Source organism: Homo sapiens, chromosome 8 (assembly GCF_000001405.40).
Source record: "Homo sapiens chromosome 8, GRCh38.p14 Primary Assembly".
Lineage (NCBI taxonomy): Eukaryota > Metazoa > Chordata > Mammalia > Primates > Hominidae > Homo > Homo sapiens.
Genome location: NC_000008.11, coordinates 115,399,647 through 115,422,947, shown reverse-complemented (window position 1 = coordinate 115,422,947; position 23,301 = coordinate 115,399,647). Strand labels below are relative to the sequence as shown.

Here is a 23,301-nt window from a genome sequence, read left to right as displayed (position 1 = left end):
TTGGTGTTATCGGCTAGCTACTTATTCCTATCCTTTTTCCCTCCCAGCACTGATCTTATCCATATGACCCATAATTCTTCCCTCTCAGGCACGAGGTGATGGAGGTACAAATTATTGTCTCTTAAGACAGCTTGTGGGAAAAGGAGAAATTTATTATTTAAACATAAACAGACACAGATAGAACCATCAGCAATTTGTGACTGTAATGTTAAAGATAAAAGAGAGCTGCCCCCAGCACTTAGCAAGTACCTGGCATCAGCTCCTTCTCAAAAATACATGTGGGGCTGGGTGCGGTGGCTCACACCTGTAATCCCAGCACTTTGGGAGGCAGAGGCCGGTGGATCACCTGAGGTCAGGAGTTGGAGACCAGGCTGGTCAACGTGGTGAAACCCGACCCCACTAAAAATACAAGAATTAGCCAGGCATGGTGGCGGGCGTCTGTAATCCCAGCTACTCTGGAAGCTGAGACAAGAGAATCACTTGAACCCGGGAGGCGGAGGTGGCAGTGGGCCGAGATCGCGCCACTGCCCTCCAGCCTGGGCAACAGAGCAACGCTCCATCTCAAAAAAAAAAAAAAAGTGTGGAAAGTAGGAGTGGACAATGAATTTTCTTGAATGTGTCTTCTATATCATCAACCATCTCTGCCCAACTCCAGATTAATTTGTCAGCCTGAATGGACGACATTTAAAAGGGATTTTAAGAAAACAAACACTACTTTTTTTCCTAAAATATTTTTTTTTTCTAAAAATAACGATAGAAATAGCAGGCAGGATTATTTTCAACTTTCTTAATGTTTAGCCTAACAGAGCACTGTCCTAGGTGCTTATTCCTTAGAATGTTCAGTGACGATTAGGAAACAGGATTTCTGTCCTTAATAGGCTTACTGCAAAGGAGAGTGACAAAGTATTTTAAAACTGCCATGCAGGATAAAGTATGAATGAAATAAGATCGTTAGTGCTTTTCTTTTTCTTTAAGTTAAAGCCAAGCTTTGTTTTTGAAAATAGGGCACAGGAGGCTTCTACTCTGCGTTCCTTTGGTAACAGGCTGCTTCCCTGTCCTTGATTGGGCTAAGGATGTTGATAACTTCAAAGGAAATCCCTTACTGTGTCCTGCCAGGTTACATTGTACACAGTGTGACCAGGTCAGGGCTCGCATCTGTATGGTGTTTTAGAAAGATGTGGTTCTGTAGTGACACAGCTCAGGACACTACCCACTTCTCCCACCTTCTCTGCTACTTCCAGAAATTTTAATTGCACCAAAAATAAGGTTCGACTAGGCTTACCAAAGTACTAAATTTGTTTAGATGGGAGGTAACTTCATGTGTGAAAGAATTTCTCACCTACCTCCCACTCTCCACCCCCATGCAAGCTTGCTCCTATTGAATTCTAGGTGCGAACACCTAGATATTTCACTCTGACTCAACTTTCCATTCTCATATTTGATAAGATTGGTATGAAAGAAACACATTGAACAATATCCAACCATATGCTTTAAGCATCTCTCAAATATTCAATAACAAGATTCAAGGGCTGAAAACTAACAAAATATTTTTCTCATACAAAAGAAATCACAGTTGAATCCTCTTGGCAAATAGGATTTGAGCACTTACTACATCCCTGGCACCGTTTTAATTGCATCTATTAATCTACATAAGAATCACAGTAGCGGGGCATGGTGGCTTATGCCTGTAATCCCAGCACTTTGGGAGGCCGAGGCGGGCAGATCACTTGAGATTGGGAGTTTGAGACCAGCCTGACCAACACAGAGAAACCCCATCTCTACTAAAAAATAGAAAATTAGCCGGTCATGGTGGCGCATGCCTGTAATCCCAGCTACTCGGGAGGCTGAGGCAGGAGAATTGCTTGAACCCGGGAGGTGGAGGTTGCAGTGAGCCAAGATCGTGTGCCATTGCACTCCAGCCTGGGTGAGTGAGACTCTGTCTCAAAAAAAAAAAAAAAAGAATCACAGTAGCTCACACTGTAAAGATCAGAGAACTTTAAGCATTGAAAGATTAAGTGACTTGCCCAGTGTTGTACCTGGCAAATGACAGAGACAGGTTTTGAATATCAGTGTTCTGGCACCTAAATCTGATTATTAACCTCCAAGCTCTACTGACTCTGAATAAGTGTATTCAAAGTACTCCTGATATATTTAAAATGTGATATGGTTTACCTAAAATATAGCAAACTATATTGGAGTCTAAGTGCTCCTTTTAAAGCAAGCTATGCTTTTGGAAACTAGTGCTGTAATTTCAGGATTTTCCCTCTAACTAATGAAAGGCATTTTCTTTGCAAGAGAATTAAGCACCAAATTGTGCAAGGGTTGAAACACTCACTGAAATCAGGATTACACCCACTTTGGCATGGTGTGTCAAGCACCCAGGGCATAAGGAAAGAACAGCAGGCTGGAGTGAATGGTTACACATTCACATTTGAGCCTCAGCCATATATGTGGGTTAATTTCCAAATGGACATTTACATTGCCCTTGTGTGGACCAAGTTGGTGTTTATTTGCAAACATGTTATTTAGATCTAGGAAAATGACAGGATAGCCCCAGGAAAGTTTCACAATTATAACTTAACTAGGCTCCCAGCTTACTTTGCACAAAGGGAGTCCCCAAAATGTTTGATAAACACAACTTCTAATAGTTCATTGATTTTGGGGGAAGCAGCAGTCCACTTTTGCAGTAGGCCTTCACTGGGACTTGCAGACTGACACCCAACATTTGCTATTGCAATGTTATTGAGACTTAGAAACTCATGATACATTCCTGGTCCAGAGTCGGGTGGGGGGAAGTAGAAAAAGGGGAGCCAGAGATTATCTTTGGAAATCTAGTTTTTATTACATCACCTAAAGTAGCACAACCTGCTACACTAATGAAATCGTGTTCTTGGTTTAAAAGGGCAATTGTTAGCCTGACTTTGTGCTCACTAAAAACATTCCCCCAATCTTGTTAAGTTATTGCTCTCATTTCAGATTTTTATGGCTGTGCAGCTTACCAGCCCTCATTTCTTTACGTTTCATTCATTTTCCTTGTATTGATGATTAATGGAGGATGTCGAATGTTAGAGTGAGCAGGCATCAGCAATTGCAAGATCATAATTAGTTTAGCTGACGAGAGCCTCTGATAGCACTTGCATCTGGATGGAAAAATTACCCTATAGGGAACTGGCTGCTCACCAGGTCTTTTTAGTGATACATTGTGAAACACCCGATGAATCAAATGCCCTTTCAATGCCAAGAAAGTGTTCCAGTCTTGAAGCCAAAATTATGTCTGCAGAAAGCTTTCCATTTGAAATGTATCAGAGTACAATTATAACCATTGTATTTTCTTGGCAGGGATACCACTCTTCTACAGTATGGACTTGAGTTAAATAAATTGCCTAAATTTTATGAATCCCTGAAATTTTGACTTATGGCACATGTAATATTTAATTTATAATAAAATTAGGTTCCAGCAAGACTTTTTCCACTCCTTATCTAACACGCATATTTTATCATTAAAGGCTTTGCTTCCTAGAGAAAGGAGAGCTGAACTGCAATTCAGGCTGTCTTTTTTTTTCTTTTTTTTTTTCAGCAAGAGAATTCCATTTCCTGCCTGTTAGTATTTGTGCCTACAAACACAGCCTGACTTTTGTTTAAGTGAGAAGTTTAATGGAATCATTACTTGATAGCAAGAATGGAACAAGCAATACTAATTATCTAGTTTTAAATATTCTTAGGTTATTTTTAACCTGTTGATTACAAAACTCAGGCCACTAGAATCAATTTGTATTTGGAAACCCTTGTGATTTCCAAGTCTAAGTCAAATAAAATAAATAAATAGCCATTGAAGGGTCTATGTTGCCTAACTTAAGTGGGCACCTCATAAGGGTTCTCATTAGTAATACTGTACTTTTAATTGGCTGAAGTTTCTACAAACCCTCTCACGTTTGAGGAATAGAGGAATCTTTCAGATTTTACAATTGCAAACGAAAGACCAGAATTGAGTGTCTTATATTCTCGTAATACTTACGTTACATGAATGACATACAAAAACACACAAATCAAGTTTAATTTTAAATGATTTACATTTATTCCAAACTTGACTATATTTTAAAGCTCAGGTAGCATGTGCTCCTCCTTTCCAAAGTGTATTAAACATATTGCCATGTTCTGTCTTTTTGACGTATGTTTTGACACTTTTAAAAGGTATATTTTAGGGTTCAGCATTTAGGAGCCATCATTAAAGCCATAAAACCCAAAGTTCAAAAAGTTAAAGCTGTTTCTGTGAAAAGCCTTTGGTGTTCCACACACCTCATCCATCACTGTAGGGTTAATTATAATGAAAATCAGTGGTGCCTATTAAACACAATTGAACCTGACCTCATTATGGGCAGTGTGGTTTTATACTGTCATTGTTGCTAGTTTAAAGACAAAACTCCTGGGTTGATTTGGTCTAACTCCACTGATCATGTGACTCACCTCTGACCTTGGTTTTTTTCCCCTGTTTCAGAGGCGTAGAGGCTCCGGTGTTTTTTGTGCCAATTGCCTGACCACAAAGACCTCTCTCTGGCGAAAGAATGCAAATGGCGGATATGTATGCAACGCGTGTGGCCTCTACCAGAAGCTTCACTCGGTAAGAACTTGTTCCACTCTTTCAGGAAAAGCTTTATAAAGCAGTGTTGGCCTGGTCTGTGGTGTGATAAGTCCCATTCCCTGGCTTGCAGTGCCTGCCCCCGCAGGGTTGTTTTAATACAGTCACTTTGAGTGCACATGTGATTTATGGTGAAGGGGGCTTAGATGTGATGGGGAGATAGGTTTGAGGTCATTAGTAATGCATTATGCTTCTTTTGATATAAAAGAGGAAAATGATTGATTTCTGGGAACTTCACAGCAGATAGTTGAACTAATGGTTATCAGAATTCAATGAAATTATTTTAGGTAAAAAGGAGAAAATTTTTAGAAGTTTCAGAAATATGCAAAACGTTTTAAAAAATGAAAAAGGACTCGGTCATGTTCAGTATAAAATATAAGTCAGGGAAAGAATTCGTGTTTTCTAGTTTACCTTCGGAATTCACAAGTGTTATCTTGACCGCTTTAGGGGCTGGAGGGGCACATTCGGAAGGACAGTTCTGAACTGAATTAGGATCAGAGAATATCACATGAATCTCCCCAGGGCCTTCAGTGGGTATTTCAATGAGGTATCTGAAGTTCTGAATAGCACACACACCAGGGTAGAGTAAGGTGCAAAGATACTTTGTCTTTTAAGATCTCCAGCTGGCTTTGGCTCACGGAGGTTCTTTGAATTACTTTTCCTCAAATTTTAGTTAGAATTCTGTAATAAAATTAAAACTCACAAATCCTCCATCTGAATATGGATTTGACTTACTGAAGGATTTTTTTTTTTAGTTTAGCAAGTTCATCTGCTGACAAGAGCTGACTTTAAAATAGGCATCCCCCATTTAGTAAACAAAAATTTATTTCCCTGTGCCTTTTTCATTTCGTTTGGCGTTTTACCATAGCTCTTAGCACAAGCCAGTGAATACATTATGGCTACAGGGAATACACTTTTAGACAAAATGTTCTCATATATGGACCATTAGAAGCACTCTTTAAAAAATGCATGCTGCTAACACTACTAATTGGCAGTAAACTGTAAAAACCTTAGTTATTAGCATGTAGCAAGTAGAAAGATTCCACCCCCCACCACATACCAACTTATTTTTTTTAACCTTCACCATTTAAGCATAGCAATAAGTTTCTATTTAATGGGAACTGACATTAATGATTTTAATTGAAGTCTGGCCAATCATAGGGCAAAAATTAATTAAAATACTGCTCTGCCAGATTATGGGAACTTAACCACTGAGATATAAACTAAACTATTTTCTAAAAATTATTTTAATATTCATCTCTCCAGAGGTAAGATGTTTTCAGTTTTCAGGTTTTTTAAAAAACCATACATTGAAATACATAAAGGTTATGTTCACATTTTGTGTCAAAAACTGACACAAAAGTTATGACAGTTTAAAAAAGGAATTTATGCAAATTTCAGGTTCTTTACAGTGTATAGATTAAATAATGCATATGTTTATAATGCTAATATGAACTCTTTGTAAACCTGGATATTCTGAGCAAAAGAAATGCACATGGCATAACTAAGCTATGTTGCATTTTCTTTCTTAAACTAACAATGAATTGTCAATAACAACTGTGTTATCTTTCTTCACTTGGAAGTATGTTTGTAACAACAGAAATGTTCCAAAAAGGATTTATAGTTGTACTTATTTAAGATACAAGAGGTACTCCCTTTCATTCAAGTGTATCACTTCTAGGAATAATTTACAAATTACACTTATATTTATGTTTTTTTAAATTTATATTATATTTATATTATTATAACATGTTTATGAATATTTATGTTTATATTTAAAATTTTATAATTTATAAAATTATACATTATATACACATAATGTATAATTTATAAAGTTAAATTTATAAATTATATTTATAGTCATGTTTTATGTGGAAATTATTTTCTGATTTCAGTAATCTTTTAGAAAAATCAGACTTTAGCCCATTTAAAGATTACCCTAAATTTTTAACCTATAAATACGCATTAATTTATCAAACTGATTCCTTTGATTTTATACATCAAAGAGCTCCAACTGCAAGTAAAGTTTTTATTATAGTCTTATCCATGGATTTAAGTCATATTATATAAATACCTGTTGAACATGTCCATAAATACCAATCATGTAACGTTTAAGCTAAACAAAATACTTAAGCTGAATGAAAGTTAGCACTTACTTTAAGTAAAGAGTAGAATGACAGATCAGATATTTAAACCAAAGCTACACATGAATTTAGATTTTCAACACAAAACTAATGCTTCACTATTAACAAGTAAAATCTTAGATCACAAATATAAAATATTATTAATGAGAGAGAAGTAGAAATGAGAAGAAAAAAAAAATCCCTCTCTATTGCTTTGATGACCTGATATCTTTCCTCACAATTCTGTCAGTTTATCTTTGATTATTTATGCTCTGATATTAATATTTTATATCCACATTTGCAATTATTTAGAAGCACGCATGTATTTGTTGCTTAGGTTTCCATAACAAAATACCATAAACTGAGCAGCTTTAAACAGCCGACATTTATGTTTTCACATTCTGAAGGCTAGAAATCTGAGATCAGGTTCCAGCATAGTTGGATTCTGAGGAGGGCTGTCTTCCTTACTAAGCCACCTTCTATCTGTGCCCTCACATAGTGGAGAGAGATCTCTTTCTCTTCCTCTTCTCATAAGGCCACAGCCCCATTGGATTAGGGCCCCACCCTTAACAACCTCATTTAACTTTAATTTCCTACTAAGGACCCTGTCTCCAGACACAGTCACACTGTGGTTTAGGGCTTCAACATATAAACTTATTCTGTCTGTAGCAATGTGTAATTTTTCCACTGTTAACAATATGTATCTCCTGTGTTACTCTTATATGCTGGCATTTTAGTGCACAACTCAAAAATTGAAAAAAAATTTCAGAAAAATCACATCTCTTCAAGTGACTTTCTACACCGTTTCATCACTAAATGATGCAATCTCAAAATCTGTTGCATCTGGAAAGGTTATTTTCAAGTAGATTAAAGTTTTCAGTCCCCCCTGCAAAGATGGACATGATTTAATTAGGCTAAAATAGTGCACTTTGGTTACTTCCTCTGATCCTGCTTAGGGCAAAAGGAGGAGATTTAGTAAATCTACAGCAGAAAGCCTATCCCTGCTTTGAACTTAAGCATGGTTTATATTTGTGAGGAATTTTTAATGCATTTTAATGTATTTTTTAATGTTTTCCTTTTATGTATTGTATGTGTTCTCTGCAGACTCCCAGGCCTTTAAACATCATTAAACAAAACAACGGTGAGCAGATTATTAGGAGGAGAACAAGAAAGCGCCTTAACCCAGAGGCACTTCAGGCTGAGCAGCTCAACAAACAGCAGAGGGGCAGCAATGAGGAGCAAGTCAATGGAAGCCCGTTAGAGAGGAGGTCAGAAGATCATCTAACTGAAAGTCACCAGAGAGAAATTCCACTCCCCAGCCTAAGTAAATACGAAGCCCAGGGTTCATTGACTAAAAGCCATTCTGCTCAGCAGCCAGTCCTGGTCAGCCAAACTCTGGATATTCACAAAAGGATGCAACCTTTGCACATTCAGATAAAAAGTCCTCAGGAAAGTACTGGAGATCCAGGAAATAGTTCATCCGTATCTGAAGGGAAAGGAAGTTCTGAGAGAGGCAGTCCTATAGAAAAGTACATGAGACCTGCGAAACACCCAAATTATTCACCACCAGGCAGCCCTATTGAAAAGTACCAGTACCCACTTTTTGGACTTCCCTTTGTACATAATGACTTCCAGAGTGAAGCTGATTGGCTGCGGTTCTGGAGTAAATATAAGCTCTCCGTTCCTGGGAATCCGCACTACTTGAGTCACGTGCCTGGCCTACCAAATCCTTGCCAAAACTATGTGCCTTATCCCACCTTCAATCTGCCTCCTCATTTTTCAGCTGTTGGATCAGACAATGACATTCCTCTAGATTTGGCGATCAAGCATTCCAGACCTGGGCCAACTGCAAACGGTGCCTCCAAGGAGAAAACGAAGGCACCACCAAATGTAAAAAATGAAGGTCCCTTGAATGTAGTAAAAACAGAGAAAGTTGATAGAAGTACTCAAGATGAACTTTCAACAAAATGTGTGCACTGTGGCATTGTCTTTCTGGATGAAGTGATGTATGCTTTGCATATGAGTTGCCATGGTGACAGTGGACCTTTCCAGTGCAGCATATGCCAGCATCTTTGCACGGACAAATATGACTTCACAACACATATCCAGAGGGGCCTGCATAGGAACAATGCACAAGTGGAAAAAAATGGAAAACCTAAAGAGTAAAACCTTAGCACTTAGCACAATTAAATAGAAATAGGTTTTCTTGATGGGAATTCAATAGCTTGTAATGTCTTATGAAGACCTATTAAAAAAATACTTCATAGAGCCTGCCTTATCCAACATGAAATTCCCTTCTTTTGTTATTCTTTCTTTTGATGAGTAGGTTACCAAGATTAAAAAGTGAGATAAATGGTCAATGAGAAAGAATGGAAGATGGTAAACAATCACTTTTTAAAACCTGTTAAGTCAAAACCATCTTGGCTAATATGTACTGGGGAAATAATCCATAAGAGATATCACCAGACTAGAATTAATATATTTATAAAGAAAGAGACCAAAACTGTCTAGAATTTGAAAGGGTTTACATATTATTATACTAAAGCAGTACTGGACTGGCCATTGGACCATTTGTTCCAAAACCCATAAATTGTTGCCTAAATTTATAATGATCATGAAACCCTAGGCAGAGGAGGAGAAATTGAAGGTCCAGGGCAATGAAAGAAAAATGGCGCCCTCTCAATTTAGTCTTCTCTCATTGGCCATGTTTCAGATTTTGACCTAGAAATGCGAGCTGTGGTTAGGCTTGGTTAGAGTGCAGCAAGCAACATGACAGATGGTGGCACGCTGTTTTTACCCAGCCCTGCCTGTACATACACATGCACACCCTCTCTGATATTTTTGTCCTTTAGATGTTCAAATACTCAGTAGTCCTTTTGTTTGCGGTTTAGATTCATTTTGTCCACACATGTACCCATTTTAAAAAACAATGTCCTCGATGCTTCTGTAGTGATTTCATTTTAGCCAGGTATTTCTTTCTTGTGTGTGATGAACCAGTATGGATTTGCTTTTCTAAGCCTCCTGTTGGTTACTAATCTCACTTGGCACATTATAACTAAAGGAATCCCCTCAATTCAAAAGCATAGATGGATACAAATGTCAGACCGTGGGTTTAATTTGTTTAGAACACATGGCATTTCTTCACAAGGTAACCTGCTGTATTTATTTATTTTCTTTTGGTTAAATATAATTTCCAAACTTTGTGGTCAGGCAGCGTCTAAGGTTACGTTACCACAGACTGACAGTTGGTATATGTACCAGCCAATCCCTTCATTAAATGTATACAGATTTAGTTAAGTAGCATTAAATAGGATTCTTAGAAGTATGTCCTCATAGAACTTTTAATACTTAAGGCTTTGTAAAAACTATCCATGAAGGGAAAGCTCCTCAGCATAACTGCTCAGGGAAATAGGGCTAAATAACTGAACATTAAATAATTGGTTAAAGGTGCTGTTAGTCGAGCCTCAATGCTTGCTACAAGGATGTATGTACAAGGACTGACTTTAATAATTTGCATTATATTGTCCCAACCAGTAGTTTATTTTTTGCCACGGAGATGTAGAAGATATTACAAGCTACTGGATGCACTGTCAGATTAACTTATTTCATTAAAGAAGTTGGGAGAACAAATAGGAAAAAAAAAACTTATTTTTCTAGTAAATATTAATGTATTACATTTCAAATAATGGTGCCTGACATATTGAATAATTATTTTCTACAGTGTACGTATGCAACAAAGATATTCCATCATGCATTAGAGTCAGTTCTGGCTCTGCCTAGCTGTTTACATTTGCAAATGTAGCAAACAAGGTAATGAAGCAACTATTTCTATTGCAGTAGATATCCTTTTGTGTGTGTGTGTGTGCATTAAAGTTGTAAACGGTAACATGAAACAAATGAAAGTTCTTGCTATAATGGTATGGAAAACAAGAAGGAAATGAAAATATTTTTATGCCTACTTAGGAAAAAAAGGGTAGCACTTATTCATTCCAAGTACTTTTTTTTTTTTAATTTTTAAGCTCTTAACTCACATTGTTATGCTTAAGATGATAAACATATATCCTCTTTTTATTGCTTTGTCTATGTTTCATATGAAACATTTCAGAAATTATTTTGATAAGTGTTGCTGGAATCTGCAACGCTGATTTTTTTTTGCATTCTGTAGTCGCATTTGCACTCCATTTTTACATTAATTCGCAGTTGCTTTGTATCATTGTTTTGTTTGGGTTTTGTTTCTTTTTCACAGTGCCGGGTCTTCGTTTCTTAAAGTTGGATGGCAGGTAGAGTTCAACCAGTTCGTGACTGTTGTAGCGAATGAAGTTAAAAAAATGTCTTTCTGATGTTGTGTTGTCATTTTCATTTTTGCATTTTTTTGTTTGCATATTAAAAAAAGAGAAAAGAGAAAGCAAGAGACAGAAATCAGGACTAAGTCCTCTGCTTCAGTTTCATTGTTAACGGGCCTTATTCTGATCTCACCTGTCGCGTAGCTCTAATATTCACATAAACTGAAATAAAGAAGTGGAATGAGGAGCTTTGACATTCAAATTATGTGATGTAATTTATCTTCCTTAGGAATTTTGATGGATGCATCTCAAAATGTATAGCCAGACTTGAGAGGTGACAATTAAAGATCTAAAAAAGAGAGGAGATTCCCCCAAACAACAATATTTAATTTTCTTAGTAAAAAGAATAACAGAATGCATCGTGGCAATCCTTAAGCAACATTATCTATGTGGACTGCTTAAATCAGCAAAACACCAGAAGTTTGGTTAACTTGGGCAATATGACAAGTATTACTTTTTGGGCAAAACTACTCATTAAGCAATTTCTCTAGTGTGTCGGACACAAATAGGTTCTTTATTTTTGGCATGTATGCCTTTTTATTTTCATTCAATTTTTTTTTTTTCTCAGACAGACATAGTAGTAACGACTAGCATTGGAAAATACATATCACTATTCTTGGAATATTTATGGTCAGTCTACTTTTTAGTAGAATATTTTTGGATAGCGTTGACACGATAGATCTTATTCCATACTTCTTTATTATTGATAATTTTATTTTCATTTTTTGCTTTCATTATTATACATATTTTGGTGGAGAAGAGGTTGGGCTTTTTTGAAAGAGACAAAAATTTATTATAACACTAAACACTCCTTTTTTGACATATTAAAGCCTTTATTCCATCTCTCAAGATATATTATAAAATTTATTTTTTTAATTTAAGATTTCTGAATTATTTTATCTTAAATTGTGATTTTAAACGAGCTATTATGGTACGGAACTTTTTTTAATGAGGAATTTCATGATGATTTAGGAATTTTCTCTCTTGGAAAAGGCTTCCCCTGTGATGAAAATGATGTGCCAGCTAAAATTGTGTGCCATTTAAAAACTGAAAATATTTTAAAATTATTTGTCTATATTCTAAATTGAGCTTTGGATCAAACTTTAGGCCAGGACCAGCTCATGCGTTCTCATTCTTCCTTTTCTCACTCTTTCTCTCATCACTCACCTCTGTATTCATTCTGTTGTTTGGGATAGAAAAATCATAAAGAGCCAACCCATCTCAGAACGTTGTGGATTGAGAGAGACACTACATGACTCCAAGTATATGAGAAAAGGACAGAGCTCTAATTGATAACTCTGTAGTTCAAAAGGAAAAGAGTATGCCCAATTCTCTCTACATGACATATTGAGATTTTTTTTAATCAACTTTTAAGATAGTGATGTTCTGTTCTAAACTGTTCTGTTTTAGTGAAGGTAGATTTTTATAAAACAAGCATGGGGATTCTTTTCTAAGGTAATATTAATGAGAAGGGAAAAAAGTATCTTTAACAGCTCTTTGTTGAAGCCTGTGGTAGCACATTATGTTTATAATTGCACATGTGCACATAATCTATTATGATCCAATGCAAATACAGCTCCAAAAATATTAAATGTATATATATTTTAAAATGCCTGAGGAAATACATTTTTCTTAATAAACTGAAGAGTCTCAGTATGGCTATTAAAATAATTATTAGCCTCCTGTTGTGTGGCTGCAAAACATCACAAAGTGACCGGTCTTGAGACCTGTGAACTGCTGCCCTGTTTAGTAAATAAAATTAATGCATTTCTAGAGGGGGAATATCTGCCATCCAGTGGTGGAAATGTGGAGTAAAGAAGCTGGTGGTCTGCTTCTGTGCTGTATGCCAGCCTTTTGCCTTAAGTTGAGAGGAGGTCAACTTTAGCTACTGTCTTTGGTTTGAGAGCCATGGCAAAAAAAAAAAAAGAAAAAAAGATCAAGTCGTCTTTGGTGAGCCAGTAAGGTGAAAGCTTGCTGACTGTCCAAGGCACAAGAGAAAATTGAGGAATTGAAATGCAACCTGAGTATCAAACTAAATATTCTAATCAAAGGTAGGTACTGTTAGGTGGAATTCTATCAGCAGGCAACTGCAAATGAGAAGAAGATAGAAGGACGCCCGTCGGGACTTTGGAGGGCATTGTTATTTTCCCAAAGAAAGACGGCCAAGGGCAGAGGCATGGATTCTTTGCAGAGCACTTCCTTTTGGTTTTTCAGTACTGTTTCATAGACAGTGGGCTCACATGTTCCTGATAGTGCTGCAGTTGCTTAGAAAGCATCCCAGTTAATTGCAGTAATTAGAACTTCTGGAATATGCTAGGGCAGAAGTATGTCAAGTATGTCACATGAAGAAAATGTGAAATTCAAGAGTAATCCACACGTGAGAAACTAGACAATGTACATTCATGTGTTCTCTTGAAAGGAAAGGGAGAGCTGTAAGCTTCACTCTGTCCTACACCGGAGAAAAGCAGGAATAACTTTACCGTGGAAATAATGTTTAGCTTTTATCAGAGAAAATTGTCCTTCTAGAGCATAGAGTCCCAAAACTCAATTCTGGTTTTCCCCTGTTTTTTTTTTTTTTTTTTTTCCCAACATATAAACTGCAGCATATCACTTTTTCTTTTTGTGCCTCAGGTTCCTCAGCTGTAAAATTGAAAAATATATGTATTAATAATATTATTAATAATAATAATGGTAATGTAGTACTTGTTTGTAAAGCACTTTGAGATCCTTGGTTGAAAGGCACCATAGGAGTGCCAAGTATTATTATGTGGCCAAGGGGGTTATTTAAACTGTCAGTTCCCAAAGGCCAGGAAAGGTTGGGGTCATTTTTCTTAAAGACGAGCTGTAAATATCAACTAGGCAGCCAATAGTGTTGACTATGAAGATGCAAAACTATTACTAGGCTGATAAAATCATAGTTTCTTAATGGCTACCAATAAGGCAAATATCACAATAATAAACGCCAAATTCCTTAGGGCGGACTATTTGACAACCACATGGAAAACTTTGGGGGAGGCATGAGGGGGGAACATCTCAAAATGCCAATGTAAAATTTAACTTACAGCAATATTCACCAGCAGAAAATGTCTTTCATATGGAATGATTTCATGTTGCTAAGAAAAAGAATTCAATTTGTAGTCCTGATTTGAATACTAGAATGTTGGCTATAATAGTTCTGTTCTTACAACACATGAAATTTTTTCGTTTTATTTTATTTTGTTTTCATAGTGCATGTTCATTTCTACTCACAAACATGTTCTTGGTGTATTTCTTATGCAAACAATCTTCAGGCAGCAAAGATGTCTGTTACATCTAAACTTGAATAATAAAGTTTTACCACCAGTTACACATAACGGCGTTGGTATGGTTTATATGGATTCACTTTCATCCTTCTAGCAATAGGAAATACAGATCATTGTAATATATATATATATATATATATATATATATATATATATATATATATATATATATACAGGCTCTGCTGAATTGAAATGGTGAAATCAAATCACCATTCTAAAAAATTATTACTTATATTGATAAAGCCTGGACTCTCTCAACTTGTTGTGCTTTGATTTTTTTTCTTAAACAAACACTCTCTCACTGATATATTTTGTGTAAAAAGATATATACTACTTTCTCCAGAGAGATAACATAAAAATGTGTTTATTTCAAAAACATTCAGTTGAGTATCAAATATTGAGTGTCGAGTATTGGGTAATGATTATGTTACGATGTGTAAAAACTCCTGCTTATGAAGTTTAACTTTGAATTCGGTATACTCATGTGAACATGATGCAATTCCTAATCAATCATCTCAAAAAGTTTAAATTAATATATCAAATATCTTATTTGTTTGGTTAAAATCAAATTAATCAGGGCAAGTTCCCTGAAAGATGACTTTGAAAGAGAAATGAGGCAGAACAGATCCAGATAGGAAAGGACGTTGGCAAGACTCACCTGCATGTTTTTAACCAGAAGGAAAAATACAAAAAGACAGAACATAAAGTATATAAATAATTGATTGCTTCAGAAGATTTGCTTGGAGAGTTTAAAATAATTAGTATCTCCCCTCATTATACAATCTTCATTTCTCATTTTTGGGAGCCCAAATTAAGGAACAAATCCTTCTAATTATTATTTTTTTTTCTTTTTTCCCTTTTTCTTTCCATGTTTTGAAAATAGCAGAGAGTCTTTGAGGGGCTTTCATAATGGCAATGCCCTTGCTTTGCAGCTGGAGGCAATGTTCTCTAGATAAGAGTGTAATAATAACATTTAATGTGATATACTTCCTTAAGTAGAACTTGATTCTTGTGTCAAGGACCACCCTTCAGATAAAGAATACACATGATCTCACCCAGGACTGTCAGAACCCCATTAGAGGAGGAATATGTAGCCATCAGCTATTTACCCTTGTTTGCGGGGAGAGAAGTGAGTGAGTCATCATTGTCACTCTGCTCTCACCTCTGGGTCTTCCATCTCTGTGTGGACGGAGCAGGGGTCCAGAAAAGGAACATACAAGGACACAAAGGAATAGGCAAGTAGCCTCCATGGATACAGCCAGCTGGGTAGAGACTTTGGGAACTGGAGAGCTCATTCCACACGTATAAAGGTAGTCTTTCTTCAGCCCTAAGCATTTGTGAAGGGAGAATGCTTAACTTCCGTTTGCCAGATTTTCAGTTTTTAATAAAAACTGGACAAAGGGAATTTTATTGTATGAAATCTCCCTAAGTTTTAAATGTTAGTTACTTACTTTTTTGTTTTAATACTGCAAGCTGAACAAAACACTTGCTCAGAATAAATTCCACCAGTAGATTGCCATAGTATGACCCCTGGAGCTTAAACAATAGTGAACTCTGATAACTAGCAAGGTGGAAATTGGGCAAATGGCTGAGGTTAGTTGTTTTTCCTCTGGGTTTTGTCTTGGGTTGCAGTCTGTCTCCAGCTCTACCAGGAAGCCCAACAGAATCACGGTTGTAGCAGCTGTCTGATTCCTTCAGAGCCAAATTTGCTCAAGACTAAGAACATTGGCACAGAAGAGAAATAAATCCTATTTTTTCAGCATACCGCAAATTACTTTGTACTTCTGTTCTTCATCTTTGTAACCTCAAGTACAGTTGTGTTGTTTTTAAAACATACTGATATGAACAAATTTGCCCTTTCATGAACAAAGAAATGTCAAAAACTATCAAAAGTAGCTGGAATTAATATTTGCCAATGCCCAAGATGCCCTTATAGTCAGTCCTCTCCAAGTCATATTTTAGAGTGACAATGCCAGGGATAGAAAACTAAATAGAACAATAGATAGAAGGAAGGAGTTTTTCATGTCAGAGTTGATCATATTAATGAATTAAAAAACAATTTGTATACAAAATAAGAAATTTTATAATGAAATCTTATTTCTAGTTTTATAATACTGTTATCTAATGTATTCAGGATGTCAGTAGTCCTAAGACCATCTTTCATAAATGTAGTATTTATATAAAATACTTACATGAAGCAACAGCTGGTTCTTCTCTCAACTTACGGCTTAATAATAACAAGCAGAAAACATTAACAAATATAATAGAAATTACTTAAGTTATTTCCATAAATAGAAAGTTAATTTCCAAGTTAAAACTACACAAGCACTAAACTGTAAGCAGTTTCCCAGGGATATTTATGAACCCAAACCCATGAATACATCACAGACTTTCTCAGAACATGTACCACCTCTGATGTGAAAGCAAAGCCTGCCATCACCATGATTACACACTAGTTTTTAAAGTTAATATAACATAGAACTGACAGTATTTTCTTCAGAGCTTAAATTTCCTTAGATATTTTCTTTCTACATAGTAGGTACTACTCAATGTAATTGATGTATCTTTAAAAGAATACATATATAGCGGTGATTTTGCAAAGCATGAATTGTTATCATCATGATGGTATATTTTCTATAATTATGTTTTTTACAATTACCTTGATGATTTTTTCCCTCTAGTGAAATCAGCATTGCCGTTATTTTGTTATTCATTGGTCATACTATATAGTACAAACCCAGGCTTCATTAAACAATGTCCATTTGGTCAACAGATTTTAACTGAGTATTTACTATGTGCTGGGCTCTAGTCCAGACATTTGGGATAGATCAATGAAAGAAAACAGACCCAAACCCCTGGCTATATGGAAGAAAGTCAGACAATAAACATATGTACAAAATAAGCAAATATATTAATAACATTACATGTTAGAGAGTGATAAATGTTCTGGAGAAAAAATAAAGTAGCATTAAGGCAAGGTGGGGTGAATGGAACCATATTCAATAGGCTAAACAGTAGGTTTCGTTTGAGCCAAGACTTAAAAGAGGGAACAAAGAGAATAGGTCCTAAGGTGAAAGAGTGTACCTAGTAAATTGGAAGAATATCAAGAAGACCAATACAGCGTGGCCAGGTAAAGGAAAGAAAAAGTATTTTAAAATGCACACAGAGACAAGGTGGGAAGAAGCGAGACCATTTAGAAACACTGTAGACCACTTTAAAGACTATAGCTTTTATTCTGTCTGAAGTAGGGGAGTAATTTAGTGTTTCAGCACAGGAGTGTTACGTGATTTATGTTTTAATGGGACCATTCCCTACTATGCTTAAAGTAAATCATGAGATGTGAGGAGACAAGGATAGAAGCCAGGAGACCAGGGAGGAGGCTAATTCAGTAATCTCTGTAAGAGATGAGAAGTAGAGAAAGTAATTTAAATTTCAGATAACATTTTGAAGGTAGAACAAACTAGATTGCCTAGATATGGGGTGTGAAAAAACAGAAGGGTCAAGAATTATTCCAAGATTTCTAGCCTGAGCAACAGGAAGAGTATCTGCTGTAAACAAAGGGGAAGATTATTGGTAGATCAGATTTGGTGTAGGAAAGAAAAGGAGTTACATTTTGGGCATGCTACATTTAAGATCCAAATAGAAAGGTCAAGTAGACTGTTGGAGCTGAAGAGGGAGTTGGGAGTTAATCATTAGCTTATAGATGGTATTTAGAACTCTGAGATTGGCTGAGATCATCTAGCGAAGTAAATGGAAGGAAAAATGGGTCCAAATTTGTAAATGTGGGAAACCAGGAGACTCAACAAACCTGAAGGGGAGTCTCTGAGATAGAAAGAAAAAGGAGTAAAGTATATTAGAAGCCAAGTAAACAGAACTATATCAAGAAGGAGGGAGTAATTTATCTTAAAAAAATCTGCTATTGATAAGTCAAGTACGATACTGTCTTAGTCTGTTTTGTGTTGCTATAAAAGAATACCTGAGACTGGGTAATTTATAAAGCGAAGAGGTTTAGTTAGCTCACAGTTATGCAAGATATACAAGAAGCATGGTGCTGGCATCTGCTCAGCTTCTGGTGAGGGCCTCAGCCTGCTTCCACTCATGGCAGAAGGCAAAGGGGAGCCCAATGTGTGCAGAGATCACATGCTAAGAGAGAAAATCAGAGAGAGAGAGGGGCAGGTGCCAGGCTCATTCTAACAGTGTTCTCTTGTAGGAATTAATGAAGTAAGATCTCACTCACCCTTAAAGGAGGGCATTAATCTGTTCATGAGGGACCCATCCCCATAATTCAAACATTTCCCATCAGGCCCACCACCAATGTTTGGGGATCAAATTTCAACATGAGGTTTGAAGGGGACAAATATCCAAACCATAGCAAATACATGTAGTGGATTGGCCATTGGCTTTAGCAACATGAAGGTCACTGATATGAAAAGGGAGCTATATAATTTGCGGGGCCCACAGCAAAATGAAAATTTGAAGTCCCCTTGTTCAAGGATTAAGAATATCAAGATGGTGAGAGGACATTCAACAAAACTCAGGGCCATTGTAAGGAATGGCCTCTGTGCAACTACAGAGGGTGGGGTGAACTAAGAAGAGAATATTGCATGCCCACGAAGCTGGCCCTGGTCAATAGTGATATTAATGAGAGTAGTTTTGGTGGAGAAATGGGTGTGAGAGCCTAATAGAATAAATTTAAGAGCGAGTAGGAAGAAGGAATTGGAGAACTAAGTATGAAAACATTTGGGGGAGCTTTGCTGTAAAGGGGACCAGAAAAATGAGGTAATAACTGGCAAGAGATGTTGAATTAATAGAAAGTTCTTGTTCTTCTTTTTGTTTTCATTTAGTATGGGTGAAACAAGAACATGTTTCTTTGCTAAGGAGGATGATGCAGTAGGGAGGACTGTATTAATCTAACAGAAGAGAGAGGATGAAATAGTGGGAGTGATGTTCTTTAATAGGTGAACAGGTGAAAGAAGATAGGATCTAAGACCCAAGTGCAGAAGATGACTTTAGAAAAGAAAGAAATAGTTCATGTTCATAACCAAAATTGCCAAAGCAGACTGCATGGACAGGGATGTTGGTACATGCATGGATGTGATGGTGGGATCTCCAAAAGCTGTTTTTGTGATAAAATATTTTTTATTGTGCCACTACTGTTCAGTTTATTACTCCTTTTAGAACCCCAAGTATTCCATTAAGAACTTAGGTAATTTATACAATAAATAAGTTGACACTGTTTGTTTATATCCAACGGCATTTGAATATTTGGATAAAGTTGAAAAACTCCCACTTGACTAAAGCTGGTATTTGAATCTCATTTTAAAAATTGCTTCTATAAAAATCTGCCCCAACTATTCATTTTGTTTAGTTATTTCAAAATATTATTTCTCATTTTCTTATATTTTTAAAAAGACAGCAGGCACTTTTGTTGTGCTAATAAAGACCACCATAGGAAGTATAGTATTCCCAGTTTCTCTTAATATCATCTTATAAATTCCTGAAGATGCACCCTATAAAATGCAGGTTTTTACTGAGTGCTCCTTGTGGTTGGTTTTTTGAGTGACTTCATTCATGTCTGTTGAGTACTGATTCTGGACTCAGAACTGGGCAAGAGCAATAGAAGACACAAAAGAAAGTTAAATTTTGTACCTACACTTGATGTTTTCACAGATGTGCAGGCAATGAAGTTATAAGATTGCCTTGTTATAATGTTTTCTCATTTAGGGGTATTTTCTGAACTTCAGTTGTTGAATTAAATATTGTAGTACTCTTGACAGAAAATCTTCCCATTATCTTAATATAATTCCATCGGAATTTTTGGAGAAATACGTGTATTATTACCACTGATACTTTCAAAAATGGGATAATATATTTAGTGGAAAGCCTTTGTTATTTTATTAGTTGTAGTAACTTCTAAGAAGGTGCTAAAGATATCTAATAAATTTAAAATCAAAACTTTAAAGCCTAATTCAAGTGAACCTCAATGAGCCACATAATTTTTAGAGAAGGAAATTCCTGTAGTTTTTCCTATCATGTGTTAATCCTTAAATTGTAACCCAGCAATCTTACTTTCTGCATGCTTGTAAACATGAAGTGAAGATAAGTCACCTCATCGTCAGTGGCAAATGTTTATTGTAACTGAAAAACACAATTCGGGTATGTTGTCTGTTATTCTTACATTACTGACCCATGACAGCAATTGAAACTTCAATATTCTCAAAAGCAGTAAAAAAAAAAAAAGAAAAAAAATCTGTTTTTCAGAACTAGTGCCAGCTGGTGATGATTTCTCTGACAGTCCCATATTTAAAGACAACAGTGAAGCTTTACTTTGGTGTTAAGTTGTCCGCAGCAATAGCCTAGGGAAGCCTTTCTCACTTAATGCCTTTGTGGCCTAAGCCATCTAATTTGCTTTCAAGCACTGTTATCTCACTAGAAATTTAGTGTCCAAGAAGAAATGGATTGTCATTCCCTTTTGAAGACATTGGATTCTTGCTGATCCATTTCATGGGCATTTTAAACATTATTTTATTAAACTAAAGTTTGGTACAAACACAACTTCCAGGAGCATGTCCTTTAATTCAAATAAATGTCCTCACTCTAACGAACTGAGGGTAGATAAATTATCATTTCCTTAATTGATTAGAAAGATGAGCATGTCTTTTACAGTAGTCCCGTCCTTAATGTTTCCGTCCCAAGCTGTGCTCACCCTAACTCAAGTATGAAAGCACTAAAACTTCCTCCATTTGGCCTTCCTGCTCCAACCAACTGAACATTGAAAACAAACTCTAAAATGTTTTATAGTCAACAAATACTTATTTTTTCAAGACAAGCACTAAAATGAAGCTCTGTTGATAGTTAAACTCATAAGATATTATGTCATACAGAAATATATTTTAATATTTGTTAAATGTATAAACACCCACCGAAAAATAGTACTGCTTATTGGCACATACCACTTTTCATGATGATTTTAAATAATTGATCATTTTAAGATGGACTGATAAGATAAAAATCAATAATATTATAAGCATTAATACTTTGGATTATGTTTTAAATTTCTTTGGTCTGGGAGGAAGACATGAAAAATAACAACAACAACAACAACAAAGACCACAATTTTACAAGTTGTTTTAACATGATGACTTCTATTCAGGGGGCAGTTGTAATGGAAATCTTGGAAAAGTTTTATCAACAGGTCTCATAACATCAAAATTTTCAGTACCAGTAATGAACTAGGATTCAAGCAATCATCAAAGAGATTCTTTATTTTCTTTTTTTACATTATGTTTTCCCCCAAAAGATGTTTGTTTATACATTTGTTTTTAATAGAAATAAATGGTGTTACTTTGCATTGTGCCAAATCAGTTATCATATAACCAGCAGCCATTTGTCAATAAACATACAGAGTTTATAAAAGCAGACAACCAGAACAAGCAATGCTGTCTTACTATCTTACTATAAATTCAAATGTTACTATCTTACTATAAATTCAAGAGCCAATGCTGGCCCTTTAAGAGTCCTATGCAGATTATTCTGTACGAAGAGTTGAGTACTGCATCTTCTAGGCATCTATTAATCTCCTATTTCCTAAGATGACTAAGTCAATTTGGCCTTATCCATAAACATTTCTAAAAATTCGCTTGCTCAGGGGTTACATCTTTATATACGGTATCCTTATGTATAGTGTACCATCACAATGGTTTTGGTGGTAAATAAAATAACTAGATCATTATTTAATTTTTAGATTGTTGAAATATAACTCTCAAAATGGAAAAAATGTAATTCTTACATAAAAACGACATAAATGCAACAATATAATTCTCACAGGGAAAGTGAGCTCATGGAAAATTTGTAATTAACCCACTTATGAGGAAACGTGCAACATGGCAAAGCTGGTTCAAAACAAAAAAAAAAGAAAGATTCAAAAAGAATACAGAAATTAGATTGCTAAATTAGATGCAAGATAGTTTATATCCTGCTGGGAAATAATGATCCTAATCTTTTGAATTATCGTTACTGCTAGATAGAAACTGTTTACCTCCACTATGGACATAAGATCATCTGTGTCTGAAAAGTTTTCTACAAGATAACTTTACAGAGATATAAAATATAATAGGTATATTCTTATAGAGAGTAGAATATCCCTTAAGATAAAAATGTTTTAGATGATGCTTAGTGTGACATTGAAAGGTCAAGAGGTCAGCGTTTTTGCCTTATTTCCAAATTTGGTGATTTTTTTCTTAATAAAATATAGAAGAATCTGAAAAAGTATTAAACTTTTTGCAACTTTCCATAGCTTTCACTTCTAAAAATGAAAGTTACTTCTTCCTGTAAACTGCTAAGTGTCATGAATGACAGTTATATAAAACAACATGAATGTACTATTTTGAAGAAAATAGTGAATGAATTTTATTTGCCAGACATAACTGAAATAAAACTCACCACAATAAAATTACCAGATTATTCAAAAATTATCACTACTTCTTGCATATGCTCAGCTATAAGAATGAGGAAAAAAATGAAGATTTAAAAGCTAGGATATTCAAAGTACATTTATAGGGAAACATAAATGTCTTTTTTTCCATTTTGAAGAAGCTTTTCTGCTCTCATTCAAGATTTATGAATTACTATAGCTTCCCTCTCTTTCAAAACATCATGAAGTGTACCAAAAATTCACCTTTGGGCAAAGGATATTTACTAGATTTATTTTTAGGAAATCACAACAAAATAACTCCCCTACCCATTATTTATCTCTATAATTCAAGTCATTATTTTTAAAATAAGATACTGACGATACAGATACTACTTGTAGATGAATTTCTTCTCCAACAACTTGCCTTTGGTCTATTTCAGAAAACATTTTTATATCTATCAGAAGAGGGCAGGGAAGGGAAGAG

General features: G+C 35.6%; 1 protein-coding gene across 4 annotated transcripts in view, besides 1 other annotated feature; it reads left to right on the top strand.

Moving 5' to 3' along the window:
• TRPS1 (transcriptional repressor GATA binding 1) overlaps nucleotides 1-14,452 on the top strand; it is a 260,480-nt gene extending 246,028 nt beyond the window's left edge. For all 4 annotated transcript variants that reach the window (NM_001330599.2, NM_001282903.3, NM_014112.5 and 1 more), the window contains 2 exons: nucleotides 4,496-4,618; nucleotides 7,864-14,452. In NM_001330599.2, the coding sequence (NP_001317528.1) occupies nucleotides 4,496-4,618; nucleotides 7,864-8,925 (1,185 nt within the window). In that variant the 3' untranslated portion in view covers nucleotides 8,926-14,452. The remainder of the gene's footprint in view (nucleotides 1-4,495; nucleotides 4,619-7,863) is intronic.
• Nucleotides 2,649-4,481: an enhancer, noted in NCBI's record as "VISTA enhancer hs919". NCBI's record gives its function as "enhancer in: limb[10/10]" and the evidence as "EXISTENCE:transgenic organism evidence [ECO:0001131][PMID:17130149]".